Source organism: Homo sapiens, chromosome 2 (assembly GCF_000001405.40).
Source record: "Homo sapiens chromosome 2, GRCh38.p14 Primary Assembly".
NCBI lineage: Eukaryota > Metazoa > Chordata > Mammalia > Primates > Hominidae > Homo > Homo sapiens.
In genome coordinates this window covers 237,806,609-237,826,106 of record NC_000002.12, presented here as the reverse complement: position 1 = coordinate 237,826,106, position 19,498 = coordinate 237,806,609, and the positions used below count along the sequence as shown (strand labels likewise).

General features: G+C 35.3%; 1 protein-coding gene across 10 annotated transcripts in view; it reads right to left on the bottom strand.

The window, feature by feature from the left end:
• RBM44 (RNA binding motif protein 44) overlaps positions 1–19,498 on the bottom strand; it is a 44,027-nt gene that overhangs the window by 16,699 nt on the left and 7,830 nt on the right. For 4 of the 10 annotated variants that reach the window (XM_017004055.2, XM_017004054.2, XM_005246075.2 and 1 more), the window contains exons 2-10: positions 12,425–12,515; positions 7,511–9,114; positions 7,148–7,206; positions 5,771–5,932; positions 4,853–5,036; positions 4,739–4,761; positions 4,280–4,364; positions 2,553–2,667; positions 1,688–1,816 (exon numbers count right to left, since the gene is read on the bottom strand). In XM_017004055.2, coding sequence (XP_016859544.1) covers positions 1,688–1,816; positions 2,553–2,667; positions 4,280–4,364; positions 4,739–4,761; positions 4,853–5,036; positions 5,771–5,932; positions 7,148–7,206; positions 7,511–9,114; positions 12,425–12,500 — 2,437 coding nt within the window. In that variant the 5' untranslated portion in view covers positions 12,501–12,515. Of the gene's footprint in view, positions 1–265; positions 305–1,687; positions 1,879–2,552; positions 2,668–4,279; positions 4,365–4,738; positions 4,762–4,852; positions 5,690–5,755; positions 5,933–7,147; positions 7,207–7,510; positions 9,115–12,424; positions 12,516–19,498 lie in introns of those variants that run through there. The other 6 variants (XM_011511152.3, NM_001080504.3, XM_017004057.2 and 3 more) reach the window with 6 other exon arrangements.

Genomic DNA, 19,498 nt, shown 5'->3' with positions numbered 1-19,498 from the left:
CAGGCAACATGGCAAGCACTTTATACACATCATCTCATGTAATTCTCACAACCACGCCACAAGGTAGCTATTATTATTTTCATTTTACAGATAAGGATGCTGAGGTCTCAGGAGTTTAGGTCACAAATAGAGTAAGTAGTGGTGCTGGAATCCAGGCAGAGTTTGTCAGCTTAGGTAATAATACCTAACCTTCATTAACTTATTTTATTTGTTAATCTCTTTGAATAATGATGTATTCTATAGAGAAAACAGCAAAACCACCTACCTTTATATTTTTACACTGGAGTGAGGAGGGAATAATGAGCTACAGTACAGTAAAAAAGGGTAAATAAGAATCAGAAGACATACATTATACCCATCACCTCACCTTTCACTACTTCAACACAAAATAGCTAATGAATATCCAATGGGCTGCATGCCGTACCTGGCACTGGAGATAGGCAGTAAACAAAACACATAAAAATCCCTGAGCTCACTGAGCTAATGAGAGGATGGGAAGGCAGTCAATATATCAAGTAAGCAAACCATACAGTATTGTGATACGTGACATGAAGAAAACTAATGCAAGGGAAGAAAAAACAGAATAAACTAGATGATATGGGGCTGGGTGCAGTGGCTCACGCCTCTAATCCCAGCACTTCAGGAGGCTGAGGTGGGTGGATCACTTGAGATCAGGAGTTCAAGATCAGCCTGGCCAACCTGGTGAAACCCCGTCACTACTAAAGATACAAAAATTAGCCAGGTGTTGTGGCGGGCACCTGTAAGCTGAGGCAGGAGAATCACTTGAACCCGGGAGGTGAAGGGTTGCAATGAGCCAAGATAGTGCCACCCACTCCAGCCTGGGTGACAGAGCGAGACTCTGTCTCAAAAAACAAACAAACAACAACAACAAAACCCCAAAACTAGATGACATAATGCTACTTACTTTAAATTGTATATGTATATTAAATATATGCATAAGAAAATGCATAAAAATGGTCATTAAAATATTCATAGTGGTTACTGCAGGTTGGAGAAACCAGTTTTTAATTTTCCTATATTTTTAAATTTTATTAAAAAAACCATAATAAGCATTATTTAGACAAGCAGGAAAAAACAATACAACCAATGCTGATATGGAAAATAAAAGAAAAATCCATAGAAGATACAGAAAAAATAAGGAAAGGTAGCATAAACTTAACTAGAAATGACAGAAGGGCAATAATCACAGGTACTAGAGAAAATTATAACTATTCTAAGCAATTAAGGACTATCTAAAAATGAAAACATCCCTAAAATTATTGAAATAAGAGAAAACAAATAGTTTTCATCATTAACACCAATTTGACAAATTAGTACTGGTTGCCTGGTGGTAACTGGGAAGCTGGTCTTATTCACCATGTACCCGTGCCTGGAAAGAGGAAAATGATGCCCTGCAGGAGTGCTGATGTTGGCCTAGAGCAAGAGGAAGAATGCGGGTATCTACCTGTTAACTAAATCTTGGATTTAAGCTTTTAGCAGTTTTTTCCTCTTTAAAAAACTGACCTCCAACTGAACAATTTCCTCACTTTTTTTATTTATAAAGAAAAGCCAAAACAGGAATAAAATATTAAAACAACTCAGTTGCCCAACACAACACAGAAGCAGGTAAGCACTATTTTACAAATGATCTAGGTTAGGATTTCTCGGTAAATTCTTGAGAACCAACCTCCTGTAAGATCCAAATTCCATGTGTCTTGTTCTACTTGATTTCCCTGTGTCCCTGAGACGTCAACTCCTGTCAGGCTCTCTTTAGCATCAGACCAGTCTTCGCTTGTCTCTTGGTAATGTCTGCAGTCTAAGACACTCAACACAGTGAGCTATGAATGACACGTAACGTCCAACACACTGAAAAGTTACCTTAAAACCATGGATGAATCAGTACGATGATGACTACTAGAGTTTTATGTATAAATCTAAAGAGAAATATTAGCAAAATAAGAGAACCAAGCAAAAAGATTCTCTGAGAAGAGACTTTCAGCAGTCCTTGAATAAAAAGTTGCTTTCAGTCTGACTGATCTGTTTCTTAGTTTTCCTTTAATTAAAACACTATTCCCGGCTTATTGAAACCCTTAATTTTTGGCATTTTGAACTGTACTTTAGTGAAAAAGACATATTATCTTTATATATGCAATAACATGAAACATCTTTGAAAGAATTAAGCCGCGTTGCAGCCCTTTATTTCATTACAATTAAATTAATAATCTTTTGGAATGATCATAATCTCTTTTCATGTGCTAAAAATGCACACAATTTACAGAGATACAAATTAGATACAAGAGAGAATTTTCATACTAAAAACATGAACCAGAAGAATAAGAGTCCATATTATTATTTAGCATTGTCAGCTATATTAGGCAACCTTAAAGATGTCAAGTAGCAATAATAAGAACATACTTGACATTTATAATCAGAATGATGCCTTTCCATCAATTAAGAAAATTTATTTTTATTTAATGAATAAACACTACCAATACTTTAAACCTTATTTTGTTTTCCAGCAACTATACAAGATAACACATTTTTATACTAACCTTTATCACCAAGTTTCAGTTGACTAAAGTCTGCATTTATATCACCATTTTTAAAGTCATCTTTCTTGGGTGATATGTTTTGTGTAGCATGACTATTGTCAGATGATAAAGACATCTGAGGATTAAGATAATAAAAACAATAAATAAGGGCAAATAATTATTATGCTCTTACTATGTGACAGGTACTCTTCACTGGCATTATTCAGCCTTTACAGTAATGAGGGCTCTGAAAGGAAAACATTATCAACCTGACCTGACATGTGAGAGAACAGAATCTAAGTAACTTGTTGCTTCATGTTACACAGTTAACAAGAATTACACTTTGAATCCAGTCTGTGTATAATGACTGTGCTAACACTACTATTTGGCAAAGTGTGGCATACACACATGAGAAGTAATCGAGATAATTTTTGGAGGTGTATATATATATATTATATATATACACAAATATTTATCACATTAACCTTTAACAGCTATATATTTAATTTAGCGTATGCTTATGTGTATATTTTATTTACGAGAAGCAATATTTCTTTCCTATATGTAATAGTTATTGTTTACATTTAAATTTATGTAAAAAGGAGAATCATTTAAAGACAAAGTAACATTATAGGTAATACAGGGCTACGGTAAACTGTGAAGATGGTACATGAGTAGCTGAAATTTAGAAACACTATACTGAGTTTCATGAATTACCAGTTAATTTAATGAGACAGGAATTAAAATGTAATCTCAACTTAAAATAAATCTCAACTTAAAATCAATATTGTTTTGTAGCCAAAACCAAGATTATAAAACTACGTTATATCTTTATCTTGTTCTTTAAAAAATAATTTATTGTTCTCCCTAAATAAACAGGTTATACCATTCCTACCATTAAATACATAAAAATCTAGTTTTTGACCTGTTAATTCTTTGTGGATAACTGAGATTTTTTAAAAAAGAATTTAACAATGGAATAGACAATGTTAAAGTAATTTACTTTTACTCAAGTATTTCACTTTTAACTTTGGAATTCATCTTGGGGGATTAATATTACTCAAATAAAGAAACCTCAGGGTTAAAACCAAGGTCAGAAAAGCAGACTAAACCCCAGCCTTCCTATTCAATTGCCTCCTTGCTCAATAATAGAATATAACCAATGTTTCCATAACACTTTGTAATTTTCAGAGTGTTCTTACGTAGATTAAATCTTCCTTCTTGGTTGTCATCTGACAAACACTTTCTTGCGGGAACAAGAAAGAGTAAGAAAACCTATGACAGGCATTTAAAAATGATTTTCATCATCTCAGTAAAGAAGAAATTATAACTTTTCCCTGTCTAAAATGACTGAATTATTACTTTACCTCATGAGATGAACGTACAAAGTGTTAGTTTTAATTGCACTGGCTTCACATGATGATGGCACTAAATTATTGTTTGCCCAGGACAGTCCATGTTTATACCAACTGTTGTAGAGAATTACCATTACACTCTTTCAACCTCAAAAGTCTCCTGGTGTGGTGTAAATTATATGGTCACCCTACTCAACATATACGGTTGACATCTGTTTGATCAGGATTCGACATAAATATATCATTATAATCAGTTATATCCCTCAAATGGTAGTACACAAAGTAAGCCAGTTGAGTGAAAAGAAGGATGTCAGGGTTTCTGAAAATTATGATTTACTTTACGTAAACCATACACTTAAAGATTTGCATTGATGAACTTTCAAGGACCCTTACTTGAGAGAGTGTCTTTTTTAGGTTTGAAGAAACATCAACATCATGAGCCCTCTGATTATCTTGTTCAGCATCTGCTTCTGAAAAGCTAAAAAGAACATTTCAGAAGAAATATGATCTAATGTTTGATAACAGAGTAAGGTGACTATAGTTAACTACAATGTATATTTCAAAGTAGCTAAAAGAGAGGACTTGAAATGTTCCTAACACATAGAAATGACAAATACACAAGGTGATGGATATCCTGAATATCAACTTGATTAGTACACATCCTATGCATGCAAAAAATATTACATGTACCCCATACATTTGTACAATATTAAATGTCAAGAAAAAAGATAAACACTTCATTAAAACATTTATCAATGTTCTAAATAGGGAACAAAACAAAGTTTAAAGTTAACTGAATTAAGCAATTTTTAGGATCTAATGAATTATAAATCAAATGAAACCATAACTCACACATGTGTTTCTTTTTTCATTAGCTGGAAGGAGAGAAAAGGAAAAAAAATCTTTGTTTAAAATGTTTTGTCTAAATGAAGTAAAATTTTTTATTTCTAAAACATATATACATACCCTGGAAGCAAAAGTAGAGAAGGTAGATAATAATTTTGATTCTAGTGACAGTGGGGGCAGCTCTTCCAGTGGTATGCCTTTGTGTATTTTTTCTTTCAAAGTCACATATCTAACTTTTAAGTCCCCCAAAAGAGACAGTAGTGCTGATCCCAATTCCTTCTTAGCAGAATTACTTGATAAATTCCTGTTCAAAAGTTGAGTGCACAAAACTAAATTATTTAGGCCTAAGTCATCCATTTAACACTAATATTATATTATACACTTGGTTCTTGAACTCCTGGGCTCAAGCAATCCTCCTGTCTCAGCCTCGCAAGTTGCTAGGACTACATGTGTGCCACAATGCCCAGCTAATTTGTAAAAAAATGTATTGTAGAGACGGGGGTCCTATTATGTTGCCCACATTGGTCTTGAACTCTTGGCCTTAAGTGATTCTCCTGCCTCAGCTTCCCAAAGTGCTGGGATTACAGGCACAAGCCACCTTGCCCAACCCCACTTGGTTCTAATTTTACTAGAACTCTAAATATTTTCTTTTAAATGCTGAGTAAAAGAAAAAAATGAACCACAGTAAATATGTTTTTCTAAAGGCAGTACAAACAACTCTTGACACATAAGCCAGAGAACGTGTGGTAGCATGTCATGCAAAAACTCTCTAAGTTCATCCTTACTTGAACTTTATAAAGAAAAAACAAATCTATGTTTTCACTGGATTCATCATGCCAACCACGCACTGTGGCCCCTCCATGAAACTCAAGGGTTCTATTACCCTTAGGCTAACTAACAAACCCAGTAACAATCTACTCCTCATTTTACTCTTCAAAAATGAAAATTAGAGAAACTCTCTAGAATAAACTTAAAGCTAGTGACACATTTCTAAGAAAAAACAGATTTGAAATTAATAAACACATATTTAATCCTTCCCTATTTTCCATGACAAGTTTGTAAATATCACAACAATGGCGACGACACATCTGATAGTGAACATTTAAAAGGTGCAGCTCTGCTTTTATGGCTCTCTGCATTATCTTCTGACAGCACATTGATGGCAAATCCTTCTCTGTATCTTTAAAAAGTTGAAATTCCCTTTAAAAATAAAAGATAGGATCAGGTAAGATTCCAAACATTTTTCTATAGTAATAACATGCCTCCAGAAACAGATTTTAAATTTTTTATATTTCCCTGTCAAGTTTAAATCAATTTATACTAAAGATGAAGAGGCTGTAGGAATATATAACAACTTCAGAAAACAAGAAGTTAAAGCTAAATATATTCATTCTAGAGGTCCAGGAAGTAAACAATTCTCAAATTCATACTTTCTTTTACCAAAAAAGGAAGTATGAATTTGAGAATTGTTTATTCTGGAGAATTGCTTATTCTCTATAAAGTCATTTTGGTAATGACCTTATTTATCCAGAATCAATGGATTTCTTTCAATCTAAATCAAACTTTGGCCAAGATTTTTAAAAGTTATAAGCATTTTGGATGAAAATTATTCTTAAAACATATTATCTTTTTAATAGAAAATAATTTACATATTTCTTAATAGTTAAGGATCATTAATATAAGCAAATATTTTGCTGTACTATTATATCAAAAAGCCCCAAATCACTATGTTTTTTTGAGTATTAGTAGTTTTTGGAGGTCTTCCCTTGTTACTAATTGCCACTTCTAGCTATTCTCAATGGTTCTGCTTCTAGAAACCAATAATTTAATTGTATAGAACTGAAACGCCAGATTAAACATATTAGAAGAATGAGTAATAAGTGAAGGAAAAAGTAAATGACCTCAGAGTATGATAACTAATTTCGCTTCTTAGACCTTCCCTGTTTCTCTCCCTCCCACTTCCTGGTTCTCCACTGTGTTCTGAATTACAAGAGTATCTGATAAATGCAAAGCAAATTATGCAATGAGTTAAAATCAAGATTAAAATGCTCCTGTGAAAGTAGCTATTTACTTCTCCAAATAAATGACATATTCCAAAGGTGCTAGTTTGTTCTGGCCTACAGGTGAATAAAGTGAAAGGAAATGGAAAATTAAATCAGTATGGATTTGGGTTGAACAAGTAAAGATTAGATGCCATGAGTTTCTGAAGAAATTGAGACTGAAATCTCAATAAGTGAAGAGCTTTAATATTCTATATTGTTTTAATATTTATTTGAATGCAAACGGTTGAAACAGATGATTTCTTAAAGTCCATTTTAGCTATTATTCTATATGGGTAAGTATGCTATACAGAAAGCAAATACTATTTTGATTTTTTCTTCCAGATGTATCTGTAAGCATATATAAATGATGTACCTCTCAGGATGTTTCTTTAGGTCTGTGATACCACATGCTTTTCTTAATTCCAGGAAATCCTGAAAATATGATTTAAAATTAAATTTAAAAAAGTTATATCTGAAATTCCAAACTAATAAAATGTACAATTCAATTTCTAATGGATTTTGTGGGAGGAGCTGCCAGGAGAGGAGGATAGAACTGGTGGTAATTTACACGTCTTTTTTTTTTAATTTACTTTTTAATTTACTCCCTTTTTAATTTACTCCCCTCATCTAGCATCTTCTCACAAAAGCCTTAATTCAACGAACCAAAAACACTTACATTAGCATACACTGTCTCTTTATAAAGTCCAAATTTTATTATTACTCATATTGATTTTACCTTATTTAGAAAATTTCCATTAGGTTTTAAACTGTCAACGGAGAGAGATTTTCCTGATCCTTTTGTTATAGCCATCTGTGTATCTATACAATCTTCACTGTATGACCAATCTGTACTACAAGCCACACTTTTTTGTTTCTCATTTTGCCATTCATCAGGTCGTTTTTTATTCATCATTGTTATCTCTGTGTTGCTTGATGTAGATACTACAGAAGGTCTTGCACTTGTTGCCCTGCTGGTTGTGAAACAAGCCCTAAAATCAGTGCTAACGTCCACTGTCTGATTAATTGTGACTGTACAACTTGCTGCATCTGTCAATGATTTAGTACACATTTCTCCTATATTGTGAAAGCATGTTTTCTTTGTGGTACTGCTATGAGCAACTTTTAGGGACGTATTATCTTCTATTGCCTGATTATCTCTGACTGCGATCTTTGGTAGCATAGCAGAAAAATCTAAGGCTGAGTCAGCAGTGTTTTGTAGGCTTTCATAATATCCACAGGCAGAAATTATCGAATCATCAAAAACAGAGGTCCAGGAAGTTTGACAATCTTTACAGGGTTGGAGTAATGTCTCTAAAGCTTTATCCTGTGGTAATGTGCTAGGATTTTCAAGGTGCAGTAATATTTTGTTCTCAACAATTTTATTTCCACAAAAATCTTTACCTTCATTTATTTGAGATTTCATGTTTTCAGTATAAATTTTCATTTTTAATACTTTTTGAGGGCTCAAGGAACCACTCTTAGATTGAGATTCCTGGTTTCCTGGAGAATTGCTTCTTAGTACACTGCCATCAAATACAGTGTGGTACATTGAATTAGTCTCTTGTTCCTTATACTTTTCATGCTTTAGGTCATGATATTCTCTTAACATAACAGAATTCTGAAATTTGGAGACATGAAGTGACTCTTCTTGTCCATAAACATCAAGTGAATCGAAAGAGATGATAGAACCACTTCCCGAGTTAACACGATTATCTTCTACATTGCTAGCACATTTAACTTCATAACCCGAATTTCCTAATTCAACAACTTCTGGATTAGATATATCTAATGCTTTTGTTTGGTCAAAAGATAAATGGTTACTTATGTATTCTTGTTCTTCTGCACTGTGATATTCCTGCTGTGAGTCTTCATCTGTATCATGCTTTTGTGTATCTTCAGCACTTTCTCTATAATTAGCATCTGAAATATTGTAGATTCTTTCCAAGCCAACAGTCTTATCTTGATGTTCCAAAATATTAAAAAAAACCTCCTCTTTTTTCTGCACTTCAGGATCTAATTCTGAACTTAAAGGAGTAAGACTTTCCTTCTTTAGTTTTGACTCTGAATAAGGTATAGAATATGTTTTATTCAAGAAAGCATAGTCAGTACTGTCTTCAAGTTCACTTGACTGAAACTGAGTACTCTCTGTGTTAGTATCTTGACTCACTGAAAAAAATGGCTCTAATAAATCCATTTTGTCAATATTGCTGATTTCTTTATTATTAGCTCTTTGCTCTAGTGTCGAAGAATTCCAGTCATCATCAGGAAAAGTCAATTTGACTTCATCACAACCATTGGAGGATAATAACAAATTTTCTTTCTTTGGATTTGAAGGTTTATCTGATTAAAAAAAGGATAAAAACATTAACAGCAACATTACAGAATCTAGACACTAGAAAAACCTTAGACATGATCTGGTTTAAGCTCTTCCCAATGCGGGATTACAATTTACATCATCCATGAAAAATATCCCTTTCAGTAGCAGCTAAAAACTGAACCATGTCCTCCCAAATGATGCCTTGAAGGCCAGACCCATATGTTGGAAATGGGGACTTGGAGAGGTAATTAGGTTTACATGAGGTCATGAGGGCAAGACCCTAATTATAGGATTAGTGTCCTTTCAAGAAAAGACCAAAAGAGCTTGCCTCCCCCTTCTCTCATGTGAGGACACAGCAAGAAGGCAGCCATCTACAAGCTAGGAAGAGACCCCTCACCAGAACCTGACCATGCTGGCACCTTGATCTCAGACTTCCAGCCTCCAAAACTATGAGAAAATAAGCACCTGTTGTTTAAGCCACTCACTATATGGTATTTTGTTATGGCAGCCTGACCTAAGACAACAGCTAAGATTTTCTTGAATTCTTTCGATGGGAAGAAATTTACTGTTTACAGGGCAGCCACTGTTTGTAAAATGGTCTAATAAGAAACTTTTTTCTTATAAATTTATTTAATAAATCTTTGGGCGCCTCCAGTGCTAGCTCTAGGCACTGTAAAAACAAAGAAAAAGAAGACACGGATGCTGTCCCCAAGTGCTTATAGTTTTCATAGGGTCATAAGGTAAGCACACAAAAATGTAATTTTAACACAGTGCTGACAGAGTTGTGTTGATGGAGCAGGTAAATTTTTGAAAAAAAGGGAAGCAGACTTCAGAAAAACTTTGTATTTAAAAAGTGTTTTGAAACAAAATAGACAAAATTATTTTAGGCAAATCCAACGCAAGTACAATTAGCCGTGTGAAAGAACATGGCATTTTCAGGAAATTTTAAGACTTGTCTGTAGTGAAAGAACTCTTACGAGTATGACAGGAATTATCAACTGAAAAAGGCCCTTTATGATGTGCTAAGAAGTTTGGCTCTTATTCTAAGGCAACCAAAAACCACTGAAAACTTCATTAAAGGGTAGTCATGTGACTGGAATTGAGTTGTAGTCATTCCTGGCAACAGAAAGATTAAAAACTTGAAAGAGGAGAAAAAAGGCAGGTACCAAAACAGAGGTGGGACTAAAGAAGAGACTGGTATGAAAGTTCCACAACTGACATGTCTTGGTGGCCAATTAGAGATGATAGTAAGAGGAAGAGAGAGAGCAGTGGTTTTCAAAAGATTTTTTTTTACTAAGATCATAATCGGAATTACATTTTGGTCATATCATGACCCAGTACACACATACATATATGTATGTGTATAAGTAAAACAAAAATTTTACCCATGTCCAATGTATTCTTGTATTTTCTATTTTATTCTATTCCATTTCTTTAAAAAAAATTCATCACAATCAGCTAAACTGATGTTATGACTTACCAATTGGCCAATAAATACTCACTTAAATATCACTCAAAGATAATGCTTACATGTTTACAACTTGGTACTATAGTTGAATGGGAATATTCAGGGCTAAAGAGATAGGGACTGTGTGAAGAGCAGATTAGAAGGTAGAAGGGAAAAATGAGGAGGACGATGAGGATAATGAGTTCAATTCTGGGCAAGTAGAGTTTGAGGTTAGTAATAAAACACCCAGATGTGAATGTCTGTCCAGTAAGCTGTTATAAATATGTGGTTGGAGACGACAGAGTTGTTTAGGAGTCTTTTATATATTCTAGATACTAATTCTTTGTTTTCTTTTTAACATTTGTAATATAACTGAATTTTCCTAGCTTATTGCTTATCTTTTAATTTTTAAAAATTATTTTAAGAGACAGGGTCTTGCTATGTTGCCTGGGTGCTAGACTTGCATCAAGCAATCTTCCTGCCTCAGCCACCCAAGTAGCTTGCCTGGCTTTAACTTTTTATAGTATCTTGTCATATCAGAATTTTCCAGGTTATTTAGTTAAGTGCATCAGTCTTCTGTAACTTCTAGGTTTTGTGTCTTTGGTCTTCTCTACCAAGTAATTATAAAAATATTCTCCTATAATTTATTCTAATTGTGTGTGTAGGGGGGGGTGGGGGTTAACACTTAGTCTTTTTACACTACACAGAGTATTATTTTCCTCTTTAGCATAAGGTAGAACTCTAACTTAACTTTCTTCCAAAATGGATGGTCAATTGTCGTAATACCATTTGCCAAATAATCCATTGTTTTCCTTCTGAGCTGAAACAACATCTTTATCATATTCTGAAGTCTTCCTGTTTCTGTTTCATGATTTTCTAAGAATTTATTTCTATTTATTCCACTCCACTAACCTATTATCTTTTTGTATGACTGTATTACTGTTTTAATTATTATAGTATCACAGGTTATTTTTATATCTGGTAAGTTTTTTCCTGTATTTTAAAATTTATTTTACCTTCTCTTCAATAGATTTTTTTAAGTTTATTTTTGGGGGACCATTTTGAATTGCATAAAATACCCTATTGGGATTTACTGAGATAGAGAACCATTATCATGTCCAATCTCCAGTAGCCTTTCCCTAGATTTCCAACATTTAATGTATGAATACAAAGTATACTGTTTATTCCATTAGGGTTCATGAATGACATCTTCATTGTATAACTTTATCACTTTAAAATGACCCTCTTAATCGTCTTACAATGCTTTCTGCATTGATTATGCTCTTTACTACTATCACCCCAAATTTTTAAGTTAATTTGTTTAACTTGTCCATCCTTTTATCCTAAACCTTTCTTTTCTGTTTTAAATATGTCTCATGAACAATGTAGAGTTTTTGTTTTAATCTAGAATATATATATCTTAATAGTTTAAGCTACATACAGTCATAAGCACATAAAGTTTAGTCATCTTGCTTTTTAGACTCTTGCTATTTCTTATTTTCTTGCTGCCATGACCCAGGAAAAATACATTTCAGATTTATGGGAAGAAGAAAACATATACAACTTGGGCAGCAGAAGTCAACCTGCTCACTTTCTGATTATCACCCTGAAGGCAGTTATACCTGTCAGCAGTTCTTGAAAGGCTGGCTGGACAGAAATCCTTTCTTCCTGCTCACTTTCCCTTTCCTAAAGAAAGGTCCTGCCTAGACTGCCCTGATCCACCAAAAATCACCTGAGTCAATTTGGCAAGTTAAAAATATACTGAGTCTTACCACCTTAGAGGGAGGAAGAGTTAAAAAGCAGCAACCTGAAGGGCAAACTGTCTGGCACAATACATTTAACACCCTTCCCCACCAAGAATAAGGGTAAGTGGACTAGACCCTTACCTTTTTGGAGGTTGCCTCCATTACTGTGGTAGCCTTTACCAGATGCTGTCTCCACCACTGCAGTGGCCTGCATCATTCAAAGATATATAATCTAGAAAAGGTATAAATATTGAACTATTATTATACTTAAAAAGCATAAATTGACAACTACATAAAGGACAGAAAGATATGTCCTTTTAAAATTTCCAAGGAACATTTTTTAAAAAACCAATGCATTAGGTCACTAAAAGAAGTTTAAATCTAAAAAATTGAGTCTTAAAGACCATAATATCACCCTATTTATGTCGAACCTAGATAAAAAGTTTCCAAGACAATTTGTACACTTACTAAAAACCAATGACTTGGCAAATCCATACAATGGAAAATCTTTCAGCAACAGAAAGAAATAAACTATTGATATATGTTACCTCATGGGTTAATATCAAAAACTTGCTGAATGAAAGAAGCTAGATAAAAAAGATCACCTATTGCATAATTCCATTTAAGTAAAACGTCCAAAGCAAGAAAATGTATATAGAGAAAGTATATTAGTAGCTGCCTGGGATAGGTTGTGGGAGATGGGAAGAGAGATTAGCTATAAATGGGCATGGGGGATAAAAATGTTCTAAGACAGGTTTATGATGGGATGGTTGTGACACTTGATAAGGTTACTAAAAATCACTGAAATGAGTAAAATATAACTCAACAAAACTGTTTTAAAAAGGTAATAATGATGACTTTTTATTAATACATATTAGATGTACATATTTTGGGGGTACATGCAAGAATTTGGTACATTCATAAAATCAACTCAGGGTAATCGGGATATCCATATAATGACTCTGAACCCAGCTGCCACATGAAGCAGCCCAAGCTAATTACTGGTAGAATATCCCAATGGACACATGAAATGATCCCAGAGGCGACAAGCAGAAGGAAGTCCAGCCAACTCACAAAATCATTTTGAGCCTCTGTCCCCTACTTATTGTCACTCTCCATACCCCTAAAAGCTGAGGTATCTACAGCAGAATTCTGTTAATCAAGTGTTACAAAGGTTCCTGATGAATTTGGGGAAAAAAAAGGAATTCATTTTGTTTTAACTCTGAATTATTTCAATCACTGATCCTGAAAAAAATCATCTAAATGTACTGTCTCTGTTCTACAAGGAGAAGATATTAAAAAGCAGATCTCATGTCATGGAGACAGCCTTGAATCCTGACTTTGCCACTTAGTAAGCTATGTGGACTTTGATAATTAAAATAAATTAATGACAATAAGAATACAGACTACCAAAATCTACGGGACATGGTCAAAGTTACATCCAAAAGAAGTCACAGCTTTAGATGCTTATTATTAAATAAAGCTAGAAATAAATGAATTAAACAGTCAACTCTCAAGAATCTAGGAAAGAACTAAAAATAAGCCAAAAAAGTTTAAAATGTAATTAGTTAAGACAAAAACAGAAGTGATCACTTTAAAAATAGTAAAAATGGTAACTAAAATGGAGAGCTATTCTTTTAAAAGACTAATAAAAGTAGGTAAATAACAGGCTGGGCGCAGTGGCTCACGCCTGTAATCCTAGCACTCTGGGAGGCTGAGGTGGGTGGATTGCATGAGCTCAGGAGTTCGAGACTAGGCTGGGTAACGTGGTGAGACCTTGTCTCTACTAAAAATACAAACAATTAGCTGGGTGTGGTGGCATGTGCCTGTAGTCCCAACTACTTGGGAGGCTGAGGCACGAGAATTACTTGAACCCGGCAGATGGAGGTTGCAGTGAGCTGAGATTGCACTAATGCACTCCAGCCTGGGTGACAGCGCGAGACTCCAAAGAAAAAGTAGATAAAAGACAAGACAAATCTCGTTAAGAGAAGACTGAAACAAAAATGAGCATTGAGAAAAGGAGCATTTTAGCAAGCAATAAAGAGGTACTTTTAAAAATTGAGAATGCCATGTATGCCACTGAAGGATAATTTTAAAATTTAACAAAAATAGGCAATTTTCTAGGAAAAGTTTTTTTTTTTTAAAGACTCAGAAGCAGGTGAACAGCATTATCAACCATGAAAAAAAATGAAAAGGCCATCAAAGATACATCTTATATCAATTCCTATCAAACCATGGAGCAAAGAGAAATGGTAGCTGGGCACGGTGGCTCATGCCTGTAACACTAGCACTTTTGGAGGCCAAGGTGGGCAGATTACTTGAGCCCAGGAAGTTTGGGACCAGCCTGGGTAACATGGCAAAACCCCGACTCCACAAAAAATTAAAAAATTAGCCAGGCATGGTGGCTTGCCCCTGTAGTCCCAGCTACTCAGGAGGTTGGGGTGAGACGATCACTTGAGCCTGGGAGGTTGAGGCTCAGTGAGCTATGATCATGCCACTGCACTCCTGTCTGGGCAACTGGAAACCTAGTATTAAGGGGAAAAAAAAGAAACAGTAATTCTTTAAAAATTAACACAAGAAATAAAGCATCGAAGGGATAAGGGAATACTGATTTTTGTGGATATGTATTTGTATGTGAGGAGGAGAGGTTTATACTTTAAATAAGGTAGTCCAGGTGAAACTGAGGGTTAATTTGATCAGGTCTGCCTGCCCTGCTTGCCTTTGGTAGCTTGCGTCTTGTCATTTTTTTTCCTTTTCTTTGGAAGTTGAAGGCTGCAGCAGCTGAAGGGCGTGACATTCAAACTTAACCTTCCCTGGCCACTTTATAGACAATGTTCAAAGGTCACCACAGTAATGGTTGCTTCGGTTTTTCAGAAACTTGGGCCAGCTCCTGTCCAATTCAAACTGGTTGAGACCACAGACCCTTCAACTGGGCCAATGCAAATGCCCGAGAGGTGGCCTTTTGATGCTGGAGGGCCAAAAATGCCACCCTCAGATCCTCCTAAGCATCCTATGAAATGCCATGAACTCTGGCTAGGTTTGTGCAGAATAAACCTGTTACTTCCTTTTTCCTCTGTGCCAATCACCTTTCCCCATGCCTTAGACCACTCTACTTCCCTAACCCATAAATATCCCTAAGCCCTATCTTCTTCAGGGAGGCAGACTCGAGAGCTCTTCTCCCTCCCTCCTCCTTGCTCAATGCCCTTGCAAATAAATCTTTTCTCTTTTGCAAAATTTGTGTTACAGTGATTGATTTACTGTGCATAGGCATAACAGACCTGGACCTGGCCAGTAACAAAGGAATACTTCTCTGATAAGGTGAGACTTGGAAAAATGACTGAAAGAGAAGAAAAGAACCATGCAGATACCTAGCCAGTCAGGATGTGATAGCTGGGACCACAGTGACTGCAACAGAGGAGATAAAAAGTGATTAGATACTGGATCTACTGAGGTTCAAACCAAGAGGATTTGTTTTTGTTAAAATGAATGCATATTGTAAGAGAAACAGGTTAATTGTGAGATATCTATTTGACATTCAAATGGAGATATAGAGGTCTGGAGATCAGCAAAATTACCTAGAGCTGCATTGACCAGCAGCCACACATGGCTATTAAACACTTGAAATCTGGTTAATCTGAATTGAGATGTTCTGTAGGTGTAAAACACATACCAGATTTCAGAGACTTAGTATGAAAAACACATATCATTAACATTTTATTTGATTACATGTTGAAATATTTTTTATATACTGTGTTAAATAAAGCATTAAAAATAATTTCACCTCTTTCTGCCTTTTTTAAAAATAATAAAGGGGCTGGAATATTATCATGAAGGTTTGCCATTTTTGATTTATTCTTCAGTCAAAAAGGTTTTTTTATTTTGTTTTGTTTAAAGAGAAGGGGTTTGCTCTTCTACCCAGGCTGGAGTGCAGTGGCACAATCACAGCTCACTGCAGCCCCGAACTCCTGGGTTAAAGTGATCCTCCCACTTCAGCCTCCTGAGTAGCTGGGATTACAGGCATGAGCCACTGTATGTGGCTACTAGAAAATTTAAAATCACATATATTGCTTGTATTGTGGTGCTACTGAATAGCACTGACCTAGTTAGTGATACAAATTTGGGAATCATCAGAATACAGATTTAAATCTATGAACTTGAATGTAATTACCTACTGCTTGAATATAGAAACAGGCAGAGAAGAGACTCAAGAATTAGGCACTGAGGCATTCCAAAGTTGAAAAAGGTTGAAGAGATAAAGAGGAACCAACAAAGGAGAGTGAGAAGGAGCAATATGTGTGGTAGGAGAAAGACCAATAGATGCAGACATGGAATATTGAAAGATGCCTGTCTGGAGTAGACTTACAAGTAAAAGAAAGAACTAGAGACACTGAGTATACACATTTCATTCAAATTTTTTGCTGTAAAGGGAAACAAAGAAAGGAGACAGTCGGGGGTCAAGAAAAAAGTTTAAAAAATAATTAGAACCAAGAAAAAGATTAAACAAAATGATAAACTCAGGAAAATTATTGCAAACAAAGAGGTAATAGACCTAATGCATAAAGTACTCCTGCAAACTAGTAATATACCAAAAGAAAAGTATATGAAAGTTATGTTTGGACAATTCATAAGACTTGAAAGAGTCAACTATATTAAAAAAATATATAGACTAGTTACTGTCAAAAATGTAAATTAAAATGGATGGATTCTTGATTATCAAATTGGTAGGGGCTGATCATACATTGTGTTATTAAGGGTCATGAAATGGACATTCATATATAATGAGAATTGAAATTCTTCCAACCTTCTGAAAGATGATTTGACAATGTTGGGTACATATTCCTTGACCTAGAAATGCTTTTTCTAGGACTATTCCTATGGAAGAAAGCTGGCATATATGTTTGATGATATGCACAATTATGTTCACTGAAGAATTATTTTTTAGTAACAAATTTTAAAACAGCCAAGGGGATTGCATCAAAAAGTATAGCGTTTTAATATAATGGAATACCTATCATGCAGCTTATAAAAACAAAAGAGGTAGATCTTTATTTATAATATGGAAAATGTTTATAAAATACTGGGGATTTCTAGAAGTAGTTTCCTTTATAAGACTCCAGTTGAACTTATGTTAGACCTTTTCACTGTATCTGTCACATCTCCTACCTTGCTTCTGTATTTTTCCATCCTTTTGTCTCCCCATGCTTCAGTCTGGATAGTTTAACCTTCCATTTCACAAATTCTTTCTATAGTTCTAACTAATTTTGATGTGAAACCCATCCACTGAGTTCCTAATTTACCTGAAATTTTTAGTTCTAGAATTTTTACCTAGTTTTTTTTTTTTTCTGTTATGCTTTTTTTGGGGGGAGAGGGTGAGGGGACAGGGCCTTGCTCTGTCACCCAGGCTGGAGTGCAGTGGGGCGATCATGGCTCACTGCAGTCTTGACCTCCCAGGCTCAAGTGATCCTCTCACCTCAGCTTCCCTAGTAGCTAGGACTACAGGTGCAAGCCACCATGCCCAGCTAATCTTTGTATTTTTTTGTAGAGATGGGATTTTGCCATCTCTGGCTGGTCTCGAACTCCTGGTCTCAAGTGATCCGCCCACCTCAGTCTCCCAAAGTGCTAGGATTACAAGCCTGAGCCACTGCACTCGGCCCTGTAATGCCATTTTTAATGTATGATTTGTAGTAAAACTTTTAACATTGGCTGTTTTCTCCTGAAAGACAGTAAATATAGTTATTTTGCAGTCTGTATTTAGTAACTCCAGTAACCGGAATCTCTGTGGATCTGTTTGTATTGTCTATTATTGTTTTCTGACTCATTATGTCTTGTCATTTTGGATGTCTGGTGATGTTTTAATTATGTTCTAGAACTATATTTGATAAGTTGTATATATAAATAATTTGAACCTAAAAATGATGTTATTGTCCCTCAGAGAGAACTTGTTTGCTACTTCTAGGTGCCATAGGGAATTAGTAATCTGGAATCTCTTTACTCTAACTGAAATTTGAGATGTTCTAGGCTACCCAGAAAAGTATAGTCTGAGGAAGGGCTGGTTTACTTTAATTGTAAGGCACAGCCCTCTGGGAACCTAAGCACATTGGATCCCAAGCCAAATAATCTATTCCTTGGGTCTCACCTCTGATCACCCGAAAGACTCTGACTTTTGTCCTCTTACTGCCCTAAGGCTGTCAAAAGCACAGCCTATCCTCTCAAATCATTTCTTCTAAATTTGCAAATATTTTCAGGGCAAAAGTTGTTTGTAATGCTAGGCTTACTTCTTAAGGTTCCTATTCTTTTGCAAGTTGTGACCTGGTAACTTCTTATCTGACTAGTTCTCAGATGCTTTTGAGAAGATTTTAAAAAATATTTTTCCAGGACTGGGCGCAGTGGCTCAGGCCGGTAATCTCAGCACTTTGGGAAGCCAAGGTGGCAGATCACTTAAAGTCAGGAGTTTGAGACCAGCCTGGCCAACATGGTGAAACTCCGTCTCTACTAAAAATATAAAAAATTAGCCAGGTGTGGTGGCAGGTGCCTGTAATCTCAGCTACTAGGGAGGCTGAGGCAGGAGAATCACTTGAACCTGGGAGGTAGAGGTTGCAGTGAGCCAAGATTGCACCACTGCACTCCATCCTGGGCAACAGAGCGAGATTCCATCTCAAATTTTTTTTTTCCCTAGGTGTTTAAATTGCCTTCAGTGAATAAGAGGCCTGAATTACTTAGCCTGTCATTATCCTTATTATTAAAAACTTAAATGAAGTTCTTACATGACAGAGTGAAATCTCTTGATTTAAAGACAAACTATTAAAATGATACGTTTAGCTACTTATAAATGAAAATATGCAGTTTTAGAGAATTTATGAAAAAGATAACAATCTTATAAAATTGAGAAATATTAAAAAGTAGATATTGTGGCAGTGACAGTGGGACTTACTAAACTCCCCGCACCCCCCACCCCACCCATTTTCAAAACTCCTTGCCAGGTGGGCAACTTCTGAGCAGAATGCTCTGGGTAGAAGAAATATACATTAAGGTCAAGGCATGGGATAACTTCATCAGTCTGTAACTACAAATACACATATTAGTGTTTGACAAGTCTCAAGGGGGAGTCCCCCTGCAGATTTCTGGAGCTTTTCTTTTATATATCTCCCTTCTCTCAGGAACACTGTCCTGCAATTTCTAACGCCTTAGCCTTTCTGAACTCCAATCTCTGTCTCA